Source organism: Homo sapiens, chromosome 5 (genome assembly GCF_000001405.40).
Source record: "Homo sapiens chromosome 5, GRCh38.p14 Primary Assembly".
In the NCBI taxonomy this organism is placed as follows: domain Eukaryota; kingdom Metazoa; phylum Chordata; class Mammalia; order Primates; family Hominidae; genus Homo; species Homo sapiens.
Genome location: NC_000005.10, coordinates 180,465,707 through 180,484,749, shown reverse-complemented (window position 1 = coordinate 180,484,749; position 19,043 = coordinate 180,465,707). Strand labels below are relative to the sequence as shown.

The 19,043-nt window shown below is 49.5% G+C and overlaps 1 long non-coding RNA gene across 1 annotated transcript, besides 3 other annotated features; it reads right to left on the bottom strand.

Moving 5' to 3' along the window:
• Positions 1-1,465: 1,465 nt before the first annotated feature.
• LOC102725231 (uncharacterized) lies at positions 1,466-17,517 on the bottom strand. Its single transcript, XR_941323.2, has 4 exons — positions 17,386-17,517; positions 17,079-17,148; positions 16,481-16,639; positions 1,466-1,635 (listed from the first exon to the last, which is right to left on the bottom strand). It is a non-coding gene; the product is annotated as an uncharacterized LOC102725231 (long non-coding RNA).
• Positions 9,394-9,925: an enhancer, noted in NCBI's record as "H3K27ac-H3K4me1 hESC enhancer chr5:179901825-179902356 (GRCh37/hg19 assembly coordinates)". NCBI's record gives its function as "activates a minimal SCP1, AML or CMV promoter by ChIP-STARR-seq in naive H9 embryonic stem cells {active_cell/tissue: H9 hESC(naive)}" and the evidence as "EXISTENCE:reporter gene assay evidence [ECO:0000049][PMID:30033119]".
• Positions 13,487-13,686: an enhancer, noted in NCBI's record as "active region_23768". NCBI's record gives its function as "activates an Ori minimal core promoter by ATAC-STARR-seq in GM12878 lymphoblastoid cells {active_cell/tissue: GM12878}" and the evidence as "EXISTENCE:reporter gene assay evidence [ECO:0000049][PMID:35858748]".
• Positions 16,488-17,687: an enhancer, noted in NCBI's record as "CDK7 strongly-dependent group 2 enhancer chr5:179894063-179895262 (GRCh37/hg19 assembly coordinates)". NCBI's record gives its function as "activates an origin of replication core promoter dependent on BRD2, BRD4, P300/CBP, MED14 and CDK7 cofactors, with strong dependence on CDK7, by STARR-seq in HCT116 cells {active_cell/tissue: HCT116}" and the evidence as "EXISTENCE:reporter gene assay evidence [ECO:0000049][PMID:35650434]".

Here is a 19,043-nt window from a genome sequence, read left to right as displayed (position 1 = left end):
GGCTGTTTAGACAGTCTGCATTGTATTGATTGTACTCCCCCTGGGAGTTTCTGATGGTCGGGTGTGTGGTGTGAGAGGCAGGGGGCGCTGGGGCACCACCGAGCTTGGGTCTGAGCTGCTGAAGGGTGGGTCTGTTTGGCTGCAGTGCCTGGCCAGGGTGGAGTTCCAGGGAGATGCCCCAAGATGCCAACGCCTGCTGGCAGATTAATCACTGATACTCCCCTGGGAGAAAAACATTTTGAGTTGCCCTGCTGCTTATTATGGGATATGACGTATTGGCCGGAGAGCAGGAGGCTGACCTAGGACAGGAATTTTTTTTTTTTTTTGAGATAGAGTCTCGCTGTGTTTCCCAGGCTGGAGTGCAGTGGCGTGATCTCGGCTCACTGCAAGCTCTGCCTTCCGGGTTCACGCCATTCTCCTGCCTCAGCCTTCCAAGTAGCTCGGACTACAGGCGCCCACCACCATGCCCGGCTAATTTTTTGTATTTTTAGTAGAGAGGTTTGACCGTGTTAGCCAGGATGGTCTTGATCTCCTGACCTCGTGATCCGCCTACCTCGGCCTCCTAAAGTACTGGGATTACAGGCGTGAGCCACCGTGCCCAGCCTTTTTTGTGTTTTTTTTTTATTATTATTTATTTATTTTAGACGGAATTTTGCTCTGTCGCCCAGGCTGGAGTGCAGTGGTGCAATCTCAGCTCACTGCAACCTCTGCTGCCTGGGTTCAAGCGATTCTCCTGCCTCAGCCTCCCAAGTAGCTGGGAATACAGGCACGCGCTACCATACCCAGATAATTTTTTGTATTTTTAGTAGAGATGGGGTTTCGCCATGTTGGCCAGGCTGGTCTTGAACTCTTGACCTCAGATGATTTGCCCGCCTTGGCCTCCCAAAGTGCTGGGATTACAGGTGTGCACCACCACACCCAGCCTGGACAGGCATTTATTATGGATATTACCCTTGGAAAGTTTAGGGCATGGTGACTTTTGTTCCTTCCAGATTAACACAATGCTTATTAAGTTTCCAAAAACTGACCTGACTGTCCCAGGATGCCACAACATGCCAGCTGAGGAGTGGCGTTTGTCTCCAGGATACCCGAAGGGGTATTGTGCACTGAACTGGTGGCCTCACATCCACTCCCCTGCCTCTGCAGGCAGTGGGTTAGTCCAGAACCCCCATGCGGGGTCTCCAAGAGGAACATCAGCAGAGCTGAAGGCAAAAATCTGAAGAGATGCAGAGGATGTGGGTCCTCCCAGAGATGGAGGGGGCCACAGGGTTTTATCTGGGAGCCCCGGGACAGGAGTCCCAAGTTTCTTCGTGCATAACTTGATTCACAGGCCACTGTCTGAATTTATTAGGACTCATTCAGTTTCTACAGTAGAAACTGATTTAAAGTGATTTAAGCAGAAATGGGAATTTGTTGGCTCAGGGTAATGCTAGCTGCTCTAATAAACAAATACAAACAAAATCTGTGGGTTGCCACGCTCTCCGTTTATTTCTTGGCTAGCTAGCTGTTGAGGCGTTCTGATTCAGCAGGTGACTTCCCCCGTGTGATTCAGGGACCCAGGTCCCTTCCTTTTACAGTCCTGTCATCCCCTAGGGCAGAGATTCTTACTCCAGGGTCTGTGGACCACCAAGGAATCTGTGGATAGAATTCAGGCAAAGGGACCTGTGAACTCAATTGGGTAGAAATTTAGCACTGTCATTTTGAGCGTAGGTAACAGATCCCAATGGAATGAGCGATCCCCATGACCATCACCAGTAGAAGCCCCAGCCGGATACTGTTGTACCCTATCACAGCTGTGGGGAGATCTCCCCACCCCCAGTTCCTTTTTTGAGATGAAATTCACATGATATAAAATGAACCATTTTAAAGTATACAATTCGGTACTACTTAGTACACTCACAATGGCGTGCAACCACTGCCTCTCTCTAGCTCTAAAACATTTTCATAACCCTAAAAAAGTGTTGGGGTATCCTGAAATATGGGCCAGGTGCGGTGGCTCACGCCTGAAATCCCAGCACTTTGGGAGGCCGAGGCGGGCGGATCACCTGAGGTCAGGAGATCGAGACCATCCTGGCCAACATGGGGAAACCCTCTCTCTACCAAAAATACAAAAATTAGCTGGGTGTGGTGGCAGATGCCTGTAATCCCAGCTACTCTGGAGGCTGAGGCAGGAGGTTGAACCCATGAGGCGGAGATTGCAGTGAGCCAAGATCATGCCACTGCACTGCCTGGCAACAGCGGGAGACTCCATCTCAAAAAAAAAATCATTTTCAGTCATTTGCTACTTAAATGTGAGAGATATTAGATCTACCAAAAGATTTTATTATTTAATATGCTATTATATGCACAAATATTGTTATAATACTTGAAATAGTTTTGTAACTATTTCAATATAACTAGTTCCCTTTGCCATCCTGTGTATTTTACTTTGTGTTTTTAAAATCATTATTCTGAGTGGAGGTCCGTGGGCTTCATCAGACTTCCAGGAGGGGTCACGGCATAAAAAAAAAACCTGGGGAACCCCTGCCCTAGGCTTCAGAGCCCTCTGTATCCAGCTGGTAAAGAGGGAAGAGAGAATAAGAAAGCTCAAGCGCGGCCGGGCGCGGTGGCTCACGCCTGTCATCCCAGCACTTTGGGAGGCCGAGGCGGGCAGATCACCTGAGGTTGGCAGTTCAAGACCAGCCTGGCCAACATGGCGAAACCCCGTCTCTACTAAAAATATAAAAATTAGCCAAGCATGGTCGGGCGTGGTGGCTCATGCTTGTCATCCCAGCACTTTGGGGGGCCGAGGCGGGCAGATCATGAGGTCAGGAGATCAAGACCATCTTGGCTAACACAGTGAAACTCCATCTCAACTAAATATACAAAAAAATTAGCTGGGCATGGTGGCGGGTGCCTGTAGTCCCAGTTACTAGGGAGGCTGAGGCAGGAGAATGGCGTGAACCCGGAAGGTGGAGGTTGCAGTGAGCCAAGATCGCGCCATTACCCTCCAGCCTGGGCGATAGGGTGAGACCACATCTCAAAAAAAAAAAAAAAGAAAAGAAAGCCGAAGTGCTTCCTAACCAGCTCAGCCCAAAGTCACCCACATCACTTCATCTCCTGGCCCATTCGCAAGAACCAGTCATACCTTCCCACCAAAAGCAAAGATTTGGGAAGATTTCCACAAGCCTGGAAATCACTTGCTCAATTCTGTCTGAGCACCTGCTTCCGGCAATAAATCTGTACAGTGGAAGAGAGGGCATGAATTTTGTTGAACAGACAAACGTTTCTGACACAGTCCAAATATCTGATGGCCAGATATCCACATTCACACTTCTTCCAATGAGTAGAACCTAGTCTTCCCATACCCAAGGGAGGCCGCACCTATTGCCGCCTCCTCCTGAGCCTGTCTTCCATCCTGCTGCCTGGAGCAGGGAGTTTGCATCTGGGACCATGAGAATGAGGGCCATGAGGTCAGAGTAAGAATGGGAGCTGCAGGAAGGCTGGTGGGGTCCCGAGCATCTTGTGGAGCAGAGACGGCACAGTACTGTAGGCTGCTGCCACCAGAATCGAGTGGTGCATGTGTGGCAGAAGACAAGGCTGATGCTCTGCCATGCAGAGACTGAGAGCTTGCTGGCCAAAAGTGGACTGAGGGTGTTGGCTTCCAAACCAAGCGGAGTATTTCAAAAATGGCCTCAGATTCGTTAAATTGTGAAACTGGATGACAAGCAGAACACAAAAGCAACCAAGTAAAGGACTCGAGTCTTAACGTTTAAGAGCTGTGTCCAGACAAGATCTTTGGCAATGAGTGCTTTCTTTTTTTTTGTTGAGTCAGAGTTTTGTTCTTGTTACCCAGGCTGGAGTGCAATGGTGCGATCTTGGCTCACCGCAACCTCCACCTCCCGGGTTCAAGCGATTCTCCTGCCTCAGCCTCCCGAGTAGCTGGTATTACAGGCATGCGCCACCACCCTGGCTAATTTTGTATTTTTAGTAGAGACAGAGTTTCTCCATGTTGGTTAGGCTCGTCTCGAACTCCCGACCTCAGGTGATTCACCCGCCTCAGCCTCCCAAAGTGCTGGGATTACAGCCGTGAGCCACTGCGCTCGGCCTTGTTTTTCTTTTTTTTGTATAGATGGGGTTTCACTATGTTGCCCAGGCTAGTCTTGAACTCCCGAGCTCAAGCGATCCACCAGCCTCAGCCTCCCAAAGTGCTGGGATTACAGGCATGAACCACTGCACTTGGCCACTGTAATACAATCTCGAACCCAGAAAGTGGACATTGGTTCAAGCCATAGAGTTTATTCAGATTTTACCAGTTACACATGCACTCATTTATGTGTGTGTGGGAGAGGGGCTCTCTGTGCAACTTTGTTACATGTAGCTTCAGGTGTCCACCACCATAATCAAGATACTTCCCTGGGGCCGGGCGCGGTGGCTCATGCCTGTAATCCTAGCACTTTGGAAGGCTGAGGCGGGCGGATCATGAGGTCAGGAGATCGAGACCATCGTGGCTAACACGGTGCAACCCCATCTCTACTAAAAATACAAATTTGGTGGAGGCCAAAGTTTTTGTATTTGTAAAAATACAAAAAAAAAAAAATTAGCCAGACGTGGTGGCGGGTGCCTGTAGTCCCAGCTACTCTGGAGGCTGAGGCAGGAGAATGACGTGAACCCAGGAGGCAGAGCTTGCAGTGAGCCGAGATTGCACCACTGCACTCCAGCCTGGGCGACAGAGCGAGACTCTGTCTCAAAAAAAAAAAAAAAAGATGCTTCCCTGGGCCAGGCACAGTGGCTCACACCTGTAATTCCAACACTTTGGAGGCTGAGACAGAAGGATCGCTTGAGCCTAGGAGTTGAAGACCAACCTGGGCAACACAGTGAGACCCTATCTCTACAAAAAATTAAAAATACTAGCTGAGCATGGTGGCACACACCTGTATTCCCAGTTACTCAGGAGGCTGAGGTGGGAGGATCACTTGAGCCCATGAGGTTGAGGCTTCAGTGAGTGACCCATGATCACACCACTGCACTATAGCCTGGGTGACAGAGCCAGACCCTGCCTCAAAAAGAAAAAAAAAGATACTGTGCCATCACCCCAAGATCTATAGCCACACTCACCCCTCCCTCGCCTATCCCTAGCTCTGGTTAATTGCTCTTTAAATTTCTTTCATTTATTTTTTTCATTAAAATTTATTTATTTCTTTACATAACAACTGTTTCGTTTTGTTTGAGACAGGGTCTCGCGCTGTTGTGTTGGCTGGAATGCAGTGGTGCAGTTATGGCTCACTGCAGCCTCCACCTCCCAGGCTCCAGTGATCCTCCCACCTCAGCCTCCTAAGTAGCTGGGACTGCAGGTGTGCACCACCACGTCCAGCTAATTTATTTTTATATTTATATTTTTAATTTTTTTTAGACAGAGTCTCGCTCTGTCACCCAGTCTGCAGTGCAGTGGTGCAGTCTTGGCCCACTGCAACCTCTGCCTCCAGGGTTCAAGCAATTCTCCTGCCTCAGCCTCCGGAGTAGCTGGGACTACAGGCACGTGCCACCATGCCCGGCTAATGTTTGTATTTTTAGTAGAGAAGGGGTTTCACCATATTGATCAGGCTGGTCTTGAACTCCTGACCTCATCATCCACCCGCCTCGGCTTCCCAAAGTGCTGGGATTACAGGGGTTAGCCACTGCACCCGGCCTATTTTTATTTTTTGTAGAGATGGAGTCTTGCTATGTTGCCCAGGCTGGTCCCAAACTCCTGGGCTCAAGCAAAGATTTGGGGCAAGGTGGTGCACACCTGTATGTAACCCTGCTACTGAGGAGCTAAGGCAAGATGATTGCCCTAGCCCAGGAGTTCAAGGCCAGCCTGAGCAACATAGGGAGACCTCGTCTCAAAAAAAAAAAAAAAAAAAAAAAAAAAAAAAAAATTGAAAGACTAAACACTTAACATAGTAAAGATGTAAATTCTCTCCAAAATTGATCTATAGGTTTACCAAAATTTCTATTAAAACCTCAGCAAGATTTTCTGAACACATAAAAGCTTATTCCAAAATTTCTGTGGGAAAGGAAAGGCTCTAGAATAGCCAAACAATATTTAAAAAGAATAAAGTGGGAGTAATCACTCTTGCAGATGCCAAGTCTTTACTATTAGCTACAGTAATTAAAACAGTGTGGTACTGGAAAAGAGATGAGTCACATTGATCAGTGAGACAGACAGAGAACCCAGAAATAGATTTATACAAATATACCCAATTAATTTTTTGTTATTGAGACAGGGTCTTGCTCTGTCGCCCAGGCTGGAGTGCAGTGGCGCGGTCTTGGCTCACTACAACCTCGACCTTCTGGACTCAAGCGATCCTCCCACCTCAGCCTCCCTTTCACAGCCCCAGTAGCTGGGACTACCAGCACGTGCCACCATGCCCAGCTAATTTGTATTTTTAGTAGGGATGGAGTTTCGCCAAGTAGGCCAGGCTGGTCTCAAACTCCTGGCCTCAAGCAATTGTCTTGCTTCAGCCTCCCAAAGTGCTCGGATTACAGGCGTAACCCACCTTGCCCGGCCTACTAAATTAATTTTTGATGAAAGAAGAAAGTAATTCAATGGAGAAAGGGGCCACCTTCTCAATAAATGGTGCTGGAGCAATTATACATTCATCTTGCAAAAATCCCACAAAAAAGATCCTGAACTAATCTTCCCATCTTCTACAATTTTTTTTTTTGAGATGGAGTCCCGCTCCGTTGCTCAGGCTGGAGTGCAGTGGCGCGATCTCAGCTCACTGCAAGCTCCGCCTCCCAGTTTCACGCCATTCTCCTGCCTCAGCCTCCTGAGTAGCTGGGACTACAGGTGCCCACCATCACGCCCGGCTAATTTTTTGTGTTTTTAGTAGATGGGGTTTCACTGTGTTAGCCAGGATGGTCTCAATCTCCTGACCTCGTGATCCGCCTGCCTCAGCCTCCCAAAGTGCTGGGATCACAGACGTGAACCATTGCGCCCGGCCTACAATTTTTAACTTATAATGGACCTTGGACTTAAATGTAAAATTACAGGACATCTAGAAAAAAAATAGGAGAAAATCTTCAGGACCCAGTCTAGGCAGAGTTGTTAGACTTGACACCAGAAGCACCATCCATAAAAGGAAATGTCAATTAATTGGACTTCATCAGAATTAACTTTTGCTCAATGAAAGACTGTTAGGAGTATGAAAAGACAAATTATAGACTGGGAGTGGATATTTGCAAGTCACATATCTGACAAAGGCATTGTATCTAAAATATATAAAGGACTCTGTAATCCCAACACTCTGTGAAGCTGCCGTGGGTGGATCACCTGAGGTCAGGAGTTCAACACCAGCCTGGCCAACACGGCGAAACCCCATCTCTACTAAAAATACAAAAATTAGCCAGGTATAGTGGTGCGTGCCTATAATCCCAGCTACTCAGGAGGCTGAGGATGGAGAATTGCTTGAACCCGGGAGGCAGAGTTTGCAGAGAGCCAAGATCGTGCCACTGCACTACAGCCTGGGCAACAGAGCGAGACTCCATCTCAAATAAATAAATAAAATAAAATAAAGAAAGAACTGTCAGACCTCAGTATTAAAAACACCAACAATCTAATCTGAAAATATACAAAAGGTATGTATAGGAATTTCATCAAAGAGGGTATACAGATGGCAAATAAACACCTAAAAAAAGTTCAGCATCGGCTGGGCATGGTAGCTCACGCCTGTAATCCTAGCACTTTGGGAGGCCGAGGCGGGCAGATCACGAGGTCAAGAGATCGAGACCATCCTGGCCAACATAGTGAAACCCCATCTCTACTAAAAATACAAAAAAAAATTTTTTTTTTTGGTGGTGTGCGCCTGTAGTCCCAGCTACTAGGGAGGCTGAGGCAGGAGAATCGCTTGAACCTGGGAGACGGAGGTTGGTAACTCTGTCTCAAAAAGAAAAAAAAGAATAAAAAAAGTTCAGCATCATTAGTCAGTAGAAAAATACCAATTAAAACCACAATGAGCTATCACTATATACCTTTTAGAATGACCAAAATAAACAATAGTGATAACACCAAATGCTGGCAAGGATGCAAAGAAACAGTTTAACTCACACATTGCCAGTGAGAATGTAAAATGATACAGCCAATCTGGAAAACATTTTGGCAATTCCTTTCAAAACTAAAAATGGAGTTACCATACAACTCAGTAATTATATTCTTTGGCCTTTGTCACAGAGAAATGAAACCTTATTTTCGTGGAGAAAATTGTACATGAATGTTTATAGCAGTTTCATTCATAATATCCCTAAACTAGAAACTACTCAGATATCTTTCAACAGACAAATGCTTAAACAGACTGTCATGCGTCCAAACCGTGAAGCACTACTCAGCAGGTAAAAAGAAAGGAGCCATCAAGACACACAACAACGGGGATGAGTTGCATGAACATTACGTGAAGCACTACTCAGCAGGTAAAAGGAAAGGAGCCATCAAGACACACAACAACGGGGATGAATTGCAAGAACATTATGCTGAGCCACTCTCAAAAAGATACAAGCGGCCGGGCGCGGTGGCTCACGCCTGTAATCCCAGGACTCTGGGAGGCCAGAGCGGGTGGATCACAAGGTCGGGAGTTCGAGACCAGCGTGGCCAATGTGGTGAAACCCTGTCTCTACTAAAGATACAAAAAATTAGCCGGGCATAGTGGCACATGCCTGTAATCCCAGTTAGTCAGGAGGCTGAGGCAGGAGAATCGCTTGAACCCAGGAGGTGGAGGTTGCAGTGAGCCGAGATCGCACCACGGCACTTCCAGCCTGGGCGACTGGGTGAGAGTCCATCTCAAAAACAAACAACAACAGAAAAAAACAGCTGGGCATGGTGGCTCACATCTGTAATCCCAGCACTCTGGGATTCTTTCTTCAAAGAAATCCACACCAAGACACATCATAATTAAACTTCTGAAAACTATAATAATATAGTAATAACAATTAATAAAAATAATTTCTTTGTGCTCTCCCCAATTCTGGAATCTGTAGGTTTATGCCTTTTGCCAAGTATGAAAAATTTTCAGCCATGATTTCTTTGAATACCTTTTTTTTTTTTTTTTTTGAGATGGAGCCTCGCTCTATCACCAGGCTGGAGTGCAGTGGCACGATCTCGGCTCACTGCAACCTCCACCTCCTGGTTCAAGCAATTCTCCTGCCTCAGCCTCCTGAGTAGCTGGAATTACAGGTGCACCCTACCACGCTCAGCTAATTTTTGTATCTTTAGTAGAGACGAGGTTTCACAATGTTGGCCAGGCTGGTCTCGAATTTCTGACTTTGTGATCCACCTGCCTTGGCCTCCCAAAGTGCTGGGATTACAGGCCTGAGCCACTGCGCAAGGCCGGTTTTTTTTTGTTTGTTTGTTCGTTTTTTTGTTTGTTTGTGTTTGTTTGTTTTTGAGACAGGGTCTGGCTCTGTCGCCCAGGCTGGAATGCAGTAGCGTGATCTTGGCTCACTGCAACCTTTGCCTCCCAGGCTCAAGGGATTCTCCCACCTCAGCCTCCGAAGTAGCTGGGACTACAGGCGCATGCCACTATGCCCGGCTCGTTTTTGTATTTTTTGTAGAGATGGGGTTTTTGCTATGTTACCCAAGCTGGTCTCAAATTCCTGGGCTCACGTGATCTGCCCACCTTGGCCTCCTAAAGCGCTGGGAGTACAGGCCTGAGCCACTGTGCTGGCTCTGGGATCCTCAATCCTATTTCAGGCTTCTGTTTCAGCAGGCAGCTGCCCAGGTTAGCATGTAGGTTCTGTCTACTTGTGGGCTTCAGTTCTGAAGGCAGTTTAGTTTTCTGAGCCCTCGCGATGTTAGTCTCCTGTGCTTTGTTTTTCTGGTGCCACCGGGGCACCCTTTCAGTCCCTGCTGGTGGGAGCAGGAGCACATCCCGGGTTGGCCCGGTGTTGCTAGATGACTTGCATGGGAAAAAGGGGCAGACGCCACTGGGTAGGGGGCAGGGAGACATGAGGCTTTGCAGATGCTGCCCCTGCAGAGCCCACCAGTGCTTTGGTGGTAGAGCAGGGTGAGGGACTCTCCCAGGCTTTGCTGCTGCTGAGGGCAGATGGCACCGTGCCAGGGTCCTGCGTGTGGAGTGAGAGCTGGGGTGACCAGGACGGCCGCTTTGCCGATCCCAACAGATTGTAGGACCCAAGGTGTGGGGCAGGGGCTGGGTCTTGAGGTTTTAATCCTGTTTCTCAGCTTTCCCCTCTTCTGGATTAGTTTACATTGTCGGAACTCTAAGTCAGTTATGGCTCAAATATCTACTTTTCATCTTCCAAACTTTCTTGTCCTTTCCCCCTCTCTGTTCTCCCTAGTTTCCTTTTGTGCGTTTCTTTGCCCATCCCCACTCCTTTACTATAGTTTTTGTGGCGTTTTGGGGATGAGAGGCTGTAGAGAATATGCCATACTAAACAGAATTCTTTCTTACAGTTTTTAATTTCCTGTATATCTGTGGTTATATCTCTTTCCTCATTCCTGACATTGTCTGTATCTGTTGCTTATTTTTCCCCCTTAAAGTTAGACTTGTCAGAGTTTTGTCTATGTTACTATATCCTTTTAATTAGCTTTAAACAATTCTTATCTCTTAAATTTTTTTTTTTAGTGGAGACGAGGTCTCACTATGTTGGCCAGGTTGGTCCTGAACTCCTGGCCTCAAGTAATCCTCCCTCCTCAGCCTCCCAAAGTGCAAGGATTACAGGTGTATGCCACCGTGCCCAGCCAGAGCTCTCTTTAACATAAGTATTTTGCTGGTGTATTTTATTGGCATTTTAGAAAGTACTCATTTATGGATGCTACTTTTGTATTTCTTTCTTTCTTTTCTTTTTTCTTTCTGTTTTTTTTTTTCAGGGTCTCACACCCAGGCTGGAGTACAGTGGCTGCAATCATGGCTCACTGTAGCCTGGACCTCCCAGGCTCAAGTGACCCTCCTACCTCAGCCTCCTGAGTAACTGGGACGATAGGTGTGCGCCACCACACCCAGCTAAGTTTTAAGTTTATTTATTTTTTATTTTGAGACAGAGTCTCACTCTGTCACCCAAGCTGGAATGCAGTAGCACAATCTCAGCTCGCTGCAAACTCTGCCTCCCGGGTCCAAACAGCTTCCCAAGTAGCTGGGATTACAGGCGCCCGCTGCCATGCCTGGCTAATTTTGTATTTTTAGTAGAAACAGGGTTTCGCCATGTTGGCCAGGCTGGTCTCGAACCCCTGACCTCAGGTGATCTGCCTGCCTTGGCCTCCCAAAGTGCTAGGATTACAGCGTGAGCCACCCGCCCAGCCTACTGTTCTATTTCATTAATTTCTTTTTTATTTTTATTAATTTCCTCCTACTCTCTTGGTATTTATTTTATTATTCATTTTCTTTCTAGAAGTAAGTGCTTAGCTGATTTGTTTTCAATTTTCTTTATTTTATAAAATTTCATAGGACTATTTTCCTGAGTTTTCCCTTGTACTCAGTAGCTCTTAACATATAACATTCTTATTTATGTTACTTTATAAATTAATATTTCACTTTGTGTTTCTTCTCTAACAAACAGTTACTTATGACATTTTAAACATTCCAGATAGCTTTGGAATTCTGGATAGGTGAAGGGAGGTAGGGGTGGAGCAGGAAGAAGCTCCCCTTGGTAGTTAATTTCTCAATTATTGCTTCATGGTGAGAAAATATTCTGTATGATTTCTACATTTTAGAATTTACTTAGATGTTCTTTATGGCTGAATAAAACAATTTTGATAAATGTTCCATGAGTATTTGAAGGGAGTGATAGTTTCTGTGAGACACTCTCACACTTGTACATCGATGATAAGGAAAATAATTTTCACTGCAGCTCTTAAAAAATAACGAATATTGATTGAGTTCACATTTTGTGCCATGCATTGTTCTGGGGTTTCTCAACCGGCTGGGCAGTTCTCTCAGGGGATGTCCTGGGCATTGCAGGAGGCTTAGCAACCTCCCTGGCTTCTACCCACCAGTCATTTCAACAAAAATGTCTCCAGACATTGCCAGCTGTCCTCTGGGTATAAAATCAGGCCCAACTGAGAACCACTGCACTATTCTAAAGGCTTACATTTATGAATCATTTAATCCTCATCACAAACCTGTGTGGTAGGTTCTCCTACTGTTATCCTCATTTTCCAAATAAGCATCTGTAAACAGAAGCCAGGTAAAGTTAAAAGTAATTTTCCAAGGTCACAGTGCTATTAAGCACCATTTGTAATTGCAAACAAAACCAGAAAACTCAGTCCCCAGAATCACCTTACGTGTCATTTGATGAATTGTGGTACGTACATACAAAGGAATGTAGGACAGATTCACTGGTTGCTTTGATTTATGTTTGATGAAGAAATTTCAGAAGCGACATTGAGAGGGAAAAAAGCAAGTTGCAGCTATCTTTCAGATGAGGAGAAAATATGCAATCTCACCTGAAATCTCTGATAATTCTAACTTCAGTTTCCCTTTGCAATTTCCTTTCCGTTCCCAGAATTTCCCTTGCGTTTGTGGGAATGGTTTGGGTCTCTTCTTCTTGGTCTTTTCCTTTCAGGAAGCTGCGTTTCCTCAAGTGTCGAGTGGCTCTCGTGCTTCCAGTCACATTTCCGTGAAAGAAACTACTGGGATATTGGGGGCAGGACTTGACGACTGACAGCCATCACCACAGCGCTGACTCTGTCCCTCAAGACCATGAGTGTACCGGGCAGACACACTTCTCCTAGCTCTGGCCAGCCTGGCACTGCCAGTCCCAGCCAGGCAGCTGGGAGGGTGCCTGAACTGCCCCTGGCTGGGTGGCCTTAAGGACCCCAGGGGGTGCTGCCAGCCATGACTCACCCACTTTCCACTTCTTTGCAGAAACCTAACTATCAGTTAACTATCAGGGTCCCCTTTTCTTTGTGTTAGGGACCCACGGGCCTGTATTCCTTTACTGTCATTTGAACGGTATTTTGAGAAAACAGTAGGCACTCAACCAAGGCACACTGCTAAGTCAGTTTCCACTCGAGTATCTGCTTTCCAGCTTCCAAGATTTTCCAAGGTTGTGTTGCTGTTATTCCCTCTTCTATTCCCACACTTGTAAGATTTTGTGTGTGTATGTGACACAGTCATACACACACACACCAGTTGTTAAAATGCTGAAATATCTGGTTAATAAACAGAAGCTTCCCTGAGCTTCAGGTGCCCCATAGCCCCAGCCTTTTCCCTGAGACCCCAGTCCCCTACACTTTGTCCTGGGTGGTGAGTGTCTTCCCGCCTTTGGCGATTTCGAGCTTTTCCTCACGTGGGAGGGCAAGGAGCTGCATGCAAAGGGGTGATGCTGAAGGCTGCACCTCCAGTTTAAAAAGGCTCCCCGGATGATTTTGACTACCAGCCAGATTTACAAGCCATTGCACAGACAACAGGGCTAGGGTTCAGACTCTTCCGCTTCCCACAAGTGGGGTTTTAGAGACGTCACCTCTCCTCTTTGAGTCTCGGCTTCTCCATCAGTGAAACGGGGATGAGGATCTCTCTTGCAGAGTTGGGAAAATTAGAAGAGATGCTGTGTGCAGCGACCCTATACCATGTGCAAGGACGCCCCTCCAGGAAGGTGGTGTAATGTACATGATGACCACCAGGTGGTGCCATTGGCATCGGTGGGGAAGCGCAGCCAGGCTCAGACTCGGGTGGGTGTCTGCAGCTCCTGCTTAGCTTTTGCTTGTTTTGTTTTTTTCTTTTAAACTGATGGCTCCCCCAGGAACACAGAATCAGAATCTCCGGGGTTGGGGCTAAAACGTATATTTTAGCAAGTGGTTTTAGTCCACACTGTGAAAATCTGTGATCTGCTGTTTTTCATAGAGATGGGGGTCTTGCTATGTTGCTGAGGCTGGTCTTGAACGCCTGGCCTCAAATGATCCTCCCACCTTGGCCTCCCAAAGTGCTGGGATTACCAGCATGAACCACCGTGCCCAGCCTCTTAAGACCGGCTATCTAGAGCACCAAGCAAGGGTGCTCTCTGGAGTAATGGGTTCTTGCCCTTGGCTCTCCCTGGCTTTGGCACGGGACCTCCATGGGTGAATGAGCCCCCGGGATTGATAGGACAGCCCCTGATGGAGCCCACTTCCTGGCTTTGATCTTGGCTGTCCCTCCATGGCGCTTCTGTGAACATCCTCCCGCCCCATCCATGCACAGCATCTGCGCTGAGGAGAGGCTTGGACCCTGCAGGCTGCAGGGAAACGCCACTGGATAAGTGACGCCTACCGCGGAACAGCCCTCAGCAGCTTAAAGCAAAGGAAGGCGTGCCAGGAGGTGCCATAGTCCATCCAGGTCAGAGATGACGGGACCTGAGCTCAGGTGGTAGAAGGAAGGGAAGAGAGGAAGACCCAAGAAGCTTCCAGGATGTGTGGGGTGGGGAGGAGAGGGACAGGTCTAGAAACGCCTCATCCCTGCAACTGTGGTTAAGGGCCAGCAGCAGCAGTAGCTGGGTTTCTTAGAAATGCAAAATCCAGTCTGTAGCCCCAACTACTTAGGAGGCTGAAGCAGGAGGATCACTTGATCCCAGGAGTTTGTGTTCAGCCTGGGTAACATAGTGAAACCCTGTCTCCAAAAGAAAAGAAAGGAGGGAGAGAGGGAGGAGAAAGAAAGAAAGAAATAGAAAAGAAAGAGGAAAAGAAAGAAAGAAAGGGAGGGAGGAAGAAGGAAAAAGGAAGAAGGGAGGGAGGGAGGAAGGAAGCAAGGAAGGAAGGAAGGAAGGAAAGAAGGAAAAAAATAGAGAAGAAAGGAGAAAGAAATCCAGAATCTTAGGCCTACCAGGCTTGCTGAATGAGAACCTGCATTTTAATAAGACCTCCAGGTGATTTACGCATGCCTTGAAGTGTGCAAAAGCCCTGGTCTACAGTGTGCAAAGCCCTGGTCTAGTGTGTGCAAAGCCCTGGTCTAGAGTGTGCAAAGCCCTGGTCTAGAGTACCAACTAAGATGCTCGCTGTTATGAGTGGGCAGCAATGACATCACCCATGGTAGAGGATGGAGAAGGAGGAGGAGCAGGAGAAAGCCAGGGGCGGTGGGGAGGGGGGTATCTGAGTTCCACTGGAGTCTCCAGAGTTGGAGGGAGCCTGAGGTTACCAGGTGCAGTGTTGGGGAGGAGCTGGGCATGTGCCTGAAGCTAGGGGAGGGCAGGGTCTTGCAGGAGGTGCAGGAGTGGGAGCTGGGGGCACACCTGTGATGGCTGGAGTCCTGAGTGCAGATGACATCTCTCTGGGAAGTGGGGTGGCACTGACAGTGCCCAGATGGCCGTGATATGGACGGAGTGGATTTGGGCTCAGCTCCTCTGACTCCATGGTTTGTGTTGTCTGCCCAGGGCCTTCCTCAGAGTTGCCTGGCCTTTGTGACAACTTGTCCACCTGATGCCTCCACGCAGTCCTTCACTGGCTTGCAGTCCCCGGGAGCACTCACGACCTTCCCGCAGCCCAGGTTGCTGCTGGGAACCCCCGCCCCCCAACCCAGGGAACTGCACACCACACCTGCTCGCTTCTGCCAGAAGCCTGAGCAGTCCCCCTTATCCCCAAGCCTCACTGATTCTGCACCCCAAATCCATCCACTTCTCTTCATTCCCACTGCCACCACCCTGGTCCAAGAACATCACCTTGAATCAGACGACACAAAGGGCTGTCCCAGGATCCAGCACTGACCTCTACAATCTACTCCAGCCACCGCAGTCAGAGGGACTGTCCCAAAATGCAAATCATTCCCACATGCTTCCGTGTGGGCATCTCTGGTGGCTTGTCACCAGGACGGTGTTGCTGCCACAACCTCTCCAGCTCTGCCTGGGTGTCTCCCCGTGGCACCAGCACCAGCCTCCCCCGTGGCCTTCTGCCTCCAGCCAGGCCGGCTCTTTTCAGCCCCAGGACTTCCCGTGTGCCCCCAGATCTCCGTAGTGGGCTCCTTCCCTACCTCCCCACCTCAGGGAGGCCTTGCGCGTCATTCCCGTTCTCAGCACCATTCCCCCACCAGGGACCCACGCTGCAGCAATGCATCTGCTCATCGCCCTGGTTATTGTCCATCTCTCCCCACAACTATCAGCTTCCTGCAGTGAGGACGGCGGGACCAGACAGACACGTGTATTCACTCTGGTGTTGAGTGACCGGCCAGCGCGTTCCGGAATCCAGAGAAATCTCAGGACCCTGGGGCTGAAGTGGTTGGGAAAAGCTTCCTGAAGGTCCTTCCTGAGATAAAGCTGGAAAGAGGGGCAGACTCTTCGTAAGTACAGACTATTTTGGGCAGGGTCAAGGGTGAGAGATGAGACTGAAGTGTGTGCACAGGAGATGAAAGAGACCAACCTGGCTGCCCGGAGCTGGATGGAAGTGCAGAGGGCCTCAAACACCAGGGTGGTGAGGCTGGATCCAACCAGAGGCCTCTGACAGAGTCCAGGTAACCCTGAGCTCTGGCCCCAATGTCCTGCTCCTGACCTCTGTGCCCTGGGCCAGTCCACATCCTGACTCACACCAGGCCCCATTCCCATCTGAGCTCACCTTGGCCTGCGTCTTCGTCTGTTTTCTGTTGCTATCACAGAATATCACAGACTGAGTAATTTACAACGAAGAGAAGTGTATTAGGCTGGCAGCGCAGGAGGCCGGGAAGTCTGAGATCAAGGGGCCAGCATCTGGTGAGGGCCCTGCTGACGTGTCATCCTGTGGCAGTAAGTGGAAGGACGGGGTGTGTGTGCTCCAGAGACAGACCAAGAAGGGACCGAACTCGCTTTGATAACAAACCCACTCCCATGATGATAGCATTGATGGGCTCAGGAGGGCCCAGCCCTTGTGACCTCATCACCTCTTAAAGGTCCCACCTCTCCGTGCTATTGCACTGGGGACTAGGCTGCCAGTGCAGGAACTCTAGGGGACACTTTTAAGCCACGGCAGCTTCTCTGTCCCGACTCCCGTGGCCTTCCTGACTTTCAAGCCCCCCTTCCTCCAGGCTAATAATCACAATTGTCCCTGTCCCAGCACAGGCCGTCAGCCCCTCCTCCACCCAGGCCAGAATCAGCGGCAGCAACCCTGGGCACCCCGACCTGCCCTGCCTGCCTGGCCCTTGGGGGACTTTAGCCACGCTCTGAGCCCATTTCCTCACCTGTAAACCGGGGTGAAGACGTTTCCTCCCTGAGCACGAAATGTTTTTCCACCTTCCTGCTTCAGACTTTCTGGACCAGTGGGGAAGAGGGGACCTCCTGGAGCTGACTCAGCACCAGAAAACAGTCCCCACCAGCTCTCTAATTTGACCCCAGATGTGTCTTTCTCCTTGAATACGGCGGGACGGGCGGCTCCCTCCCTCACCACCTCCCCTTAGAGCCCTGGATTCTTATCTTGAGTGCAAAGCAGGGCCTTGCCCCGGGGCCCCAGTACACCTCTCCTCCCTCCCATTAGTCCTTCCAGCTCACCTCAGTTCTCCACCAAAGGCTGAGCGTGCCAGCTATCCACGGGCGCCTGCCCAGGGCTTCCCGGCTGTGGCCAGGGCAAGAGGACAAGACAAGCTCTTGGACAACCCACTCCGCCCCGGCCTTCTGGCTTCTGGAAAGCCCTGGGGAATTCCAAGCTCACTGCTGGCCCCAGCCCAAGCTGCCACACCCTGCCTCTCCAGCAGCACCATAGCCTCACCCACAAATACTCTCTGCTGCCATCCATTCCTCAGCCCTGCCTCCTCCTCCAGGAAGCCTCCCTGGTGACCCCAGCCCCCAGGAACAAATAGCATTTATCTTTATGCAGAATTGCAGAACTTTTAAAATTTTATTTTTGAGACAGAATCTTGCTCTTGTCACCCAGGCTGGAGTGCAGTGGCACAATCTCAGCTCACTGCAACCTCTGCCTCACAGGCTCAAACCATCCTCCCACCTCAGCCTCCCGAGTAGCTGGGAATACAGATGCACTCCACTACACCCAGCTAATTTCATATTTTTAGTAGAGACGGGGTTTCGCCATATTGGCCAGGCTGGTCTTGGACTCCTGGCCTCAAAGGATTCACCCGCCTTGGCCTCCCAAAGTGTTGAGATTACAGATGTGTGCCACGGCGCCTGGCCTCAAACTTCTTTTACAGATTCATGCTTTGTGGGGTGTAGGGTCTCCCCTTTGTTTCTGACCAAGTGCCCAGTGTTTGGGGGCTGCCGTGAGCCCCTCCTCTGCTCCCCGTACACAGAATGGAAGCCTGGCTGAGTGCTAGACCACTCGTTTTCTGGACAGGGTCAGGCAGGCATACCTGGGAGCAACCACACCGCGCCCGCGCGTGGCTGAGGGACAGGTTTGGGAACCTTGGAAGCGCGTTAGGCCTGAAGCTCAGAATGCAGAAGCTTGAGCCGAGTATTGGGCAGCCATGGAAAATGCTGCACCGCCACCCTGCCCGGAAAAAGAGGCAAGGCAGAGAGGACTCTGCATAATGGCATCTTTGAGCAGGCCTGTCCGCAGCCACAGGGCTCTCAACGGGTGTTATCTGGTGAGAGGGTGCCAGTAGCTGTGGGGGAAGGTGCTGTGCCTGCCAGACCTGCAGCTCCTAGGCTGAGCCACTTTTGGCCAGGTCTCCCCCAACGCCGGAGCCCCAAGCCACAGGCCCCAGAGTCCCCTGTGCTGGTGGCTTTCCTGGAGGGGTGAACTTCGCTGAAAGTTACCAGGTGGCCATCTGGTTAGCATGGACAAGTCCAGCCTGGAGCTACTGAACTGGGGACACAGCCCAATCCAAGGCACCTTCTCTTAACTCAGCCATGTGCCACAACTGCCTGAAGGACTGTGGGCCAGCTCACGTTTGGACAGGGCCTTTTAGCCTCCCCCGAGCCCAGGCAGGTCATTTTGCAGATGAGGAAACTGAGGTTACAGAGGCTGACACATGGTTCTCCAGGGTGTTATGTGGCAGACGTATCTTCACTCCCCTGGTGTCTGTCCCTGTCATTTCTGGGTGGGGAAGGTGAAAGGGGTTTCCTGGCAGGAATCAGTCTGGTTCCTACAAAGGGCCGAGGCCATCATGCTGGGGCTGAGGCAGATGCCGGCCAGCAGGCTACATAAGGCGGAGAGGACCACACGTCACCCTCAGTGGCCAGGAGCACCAGTGCCA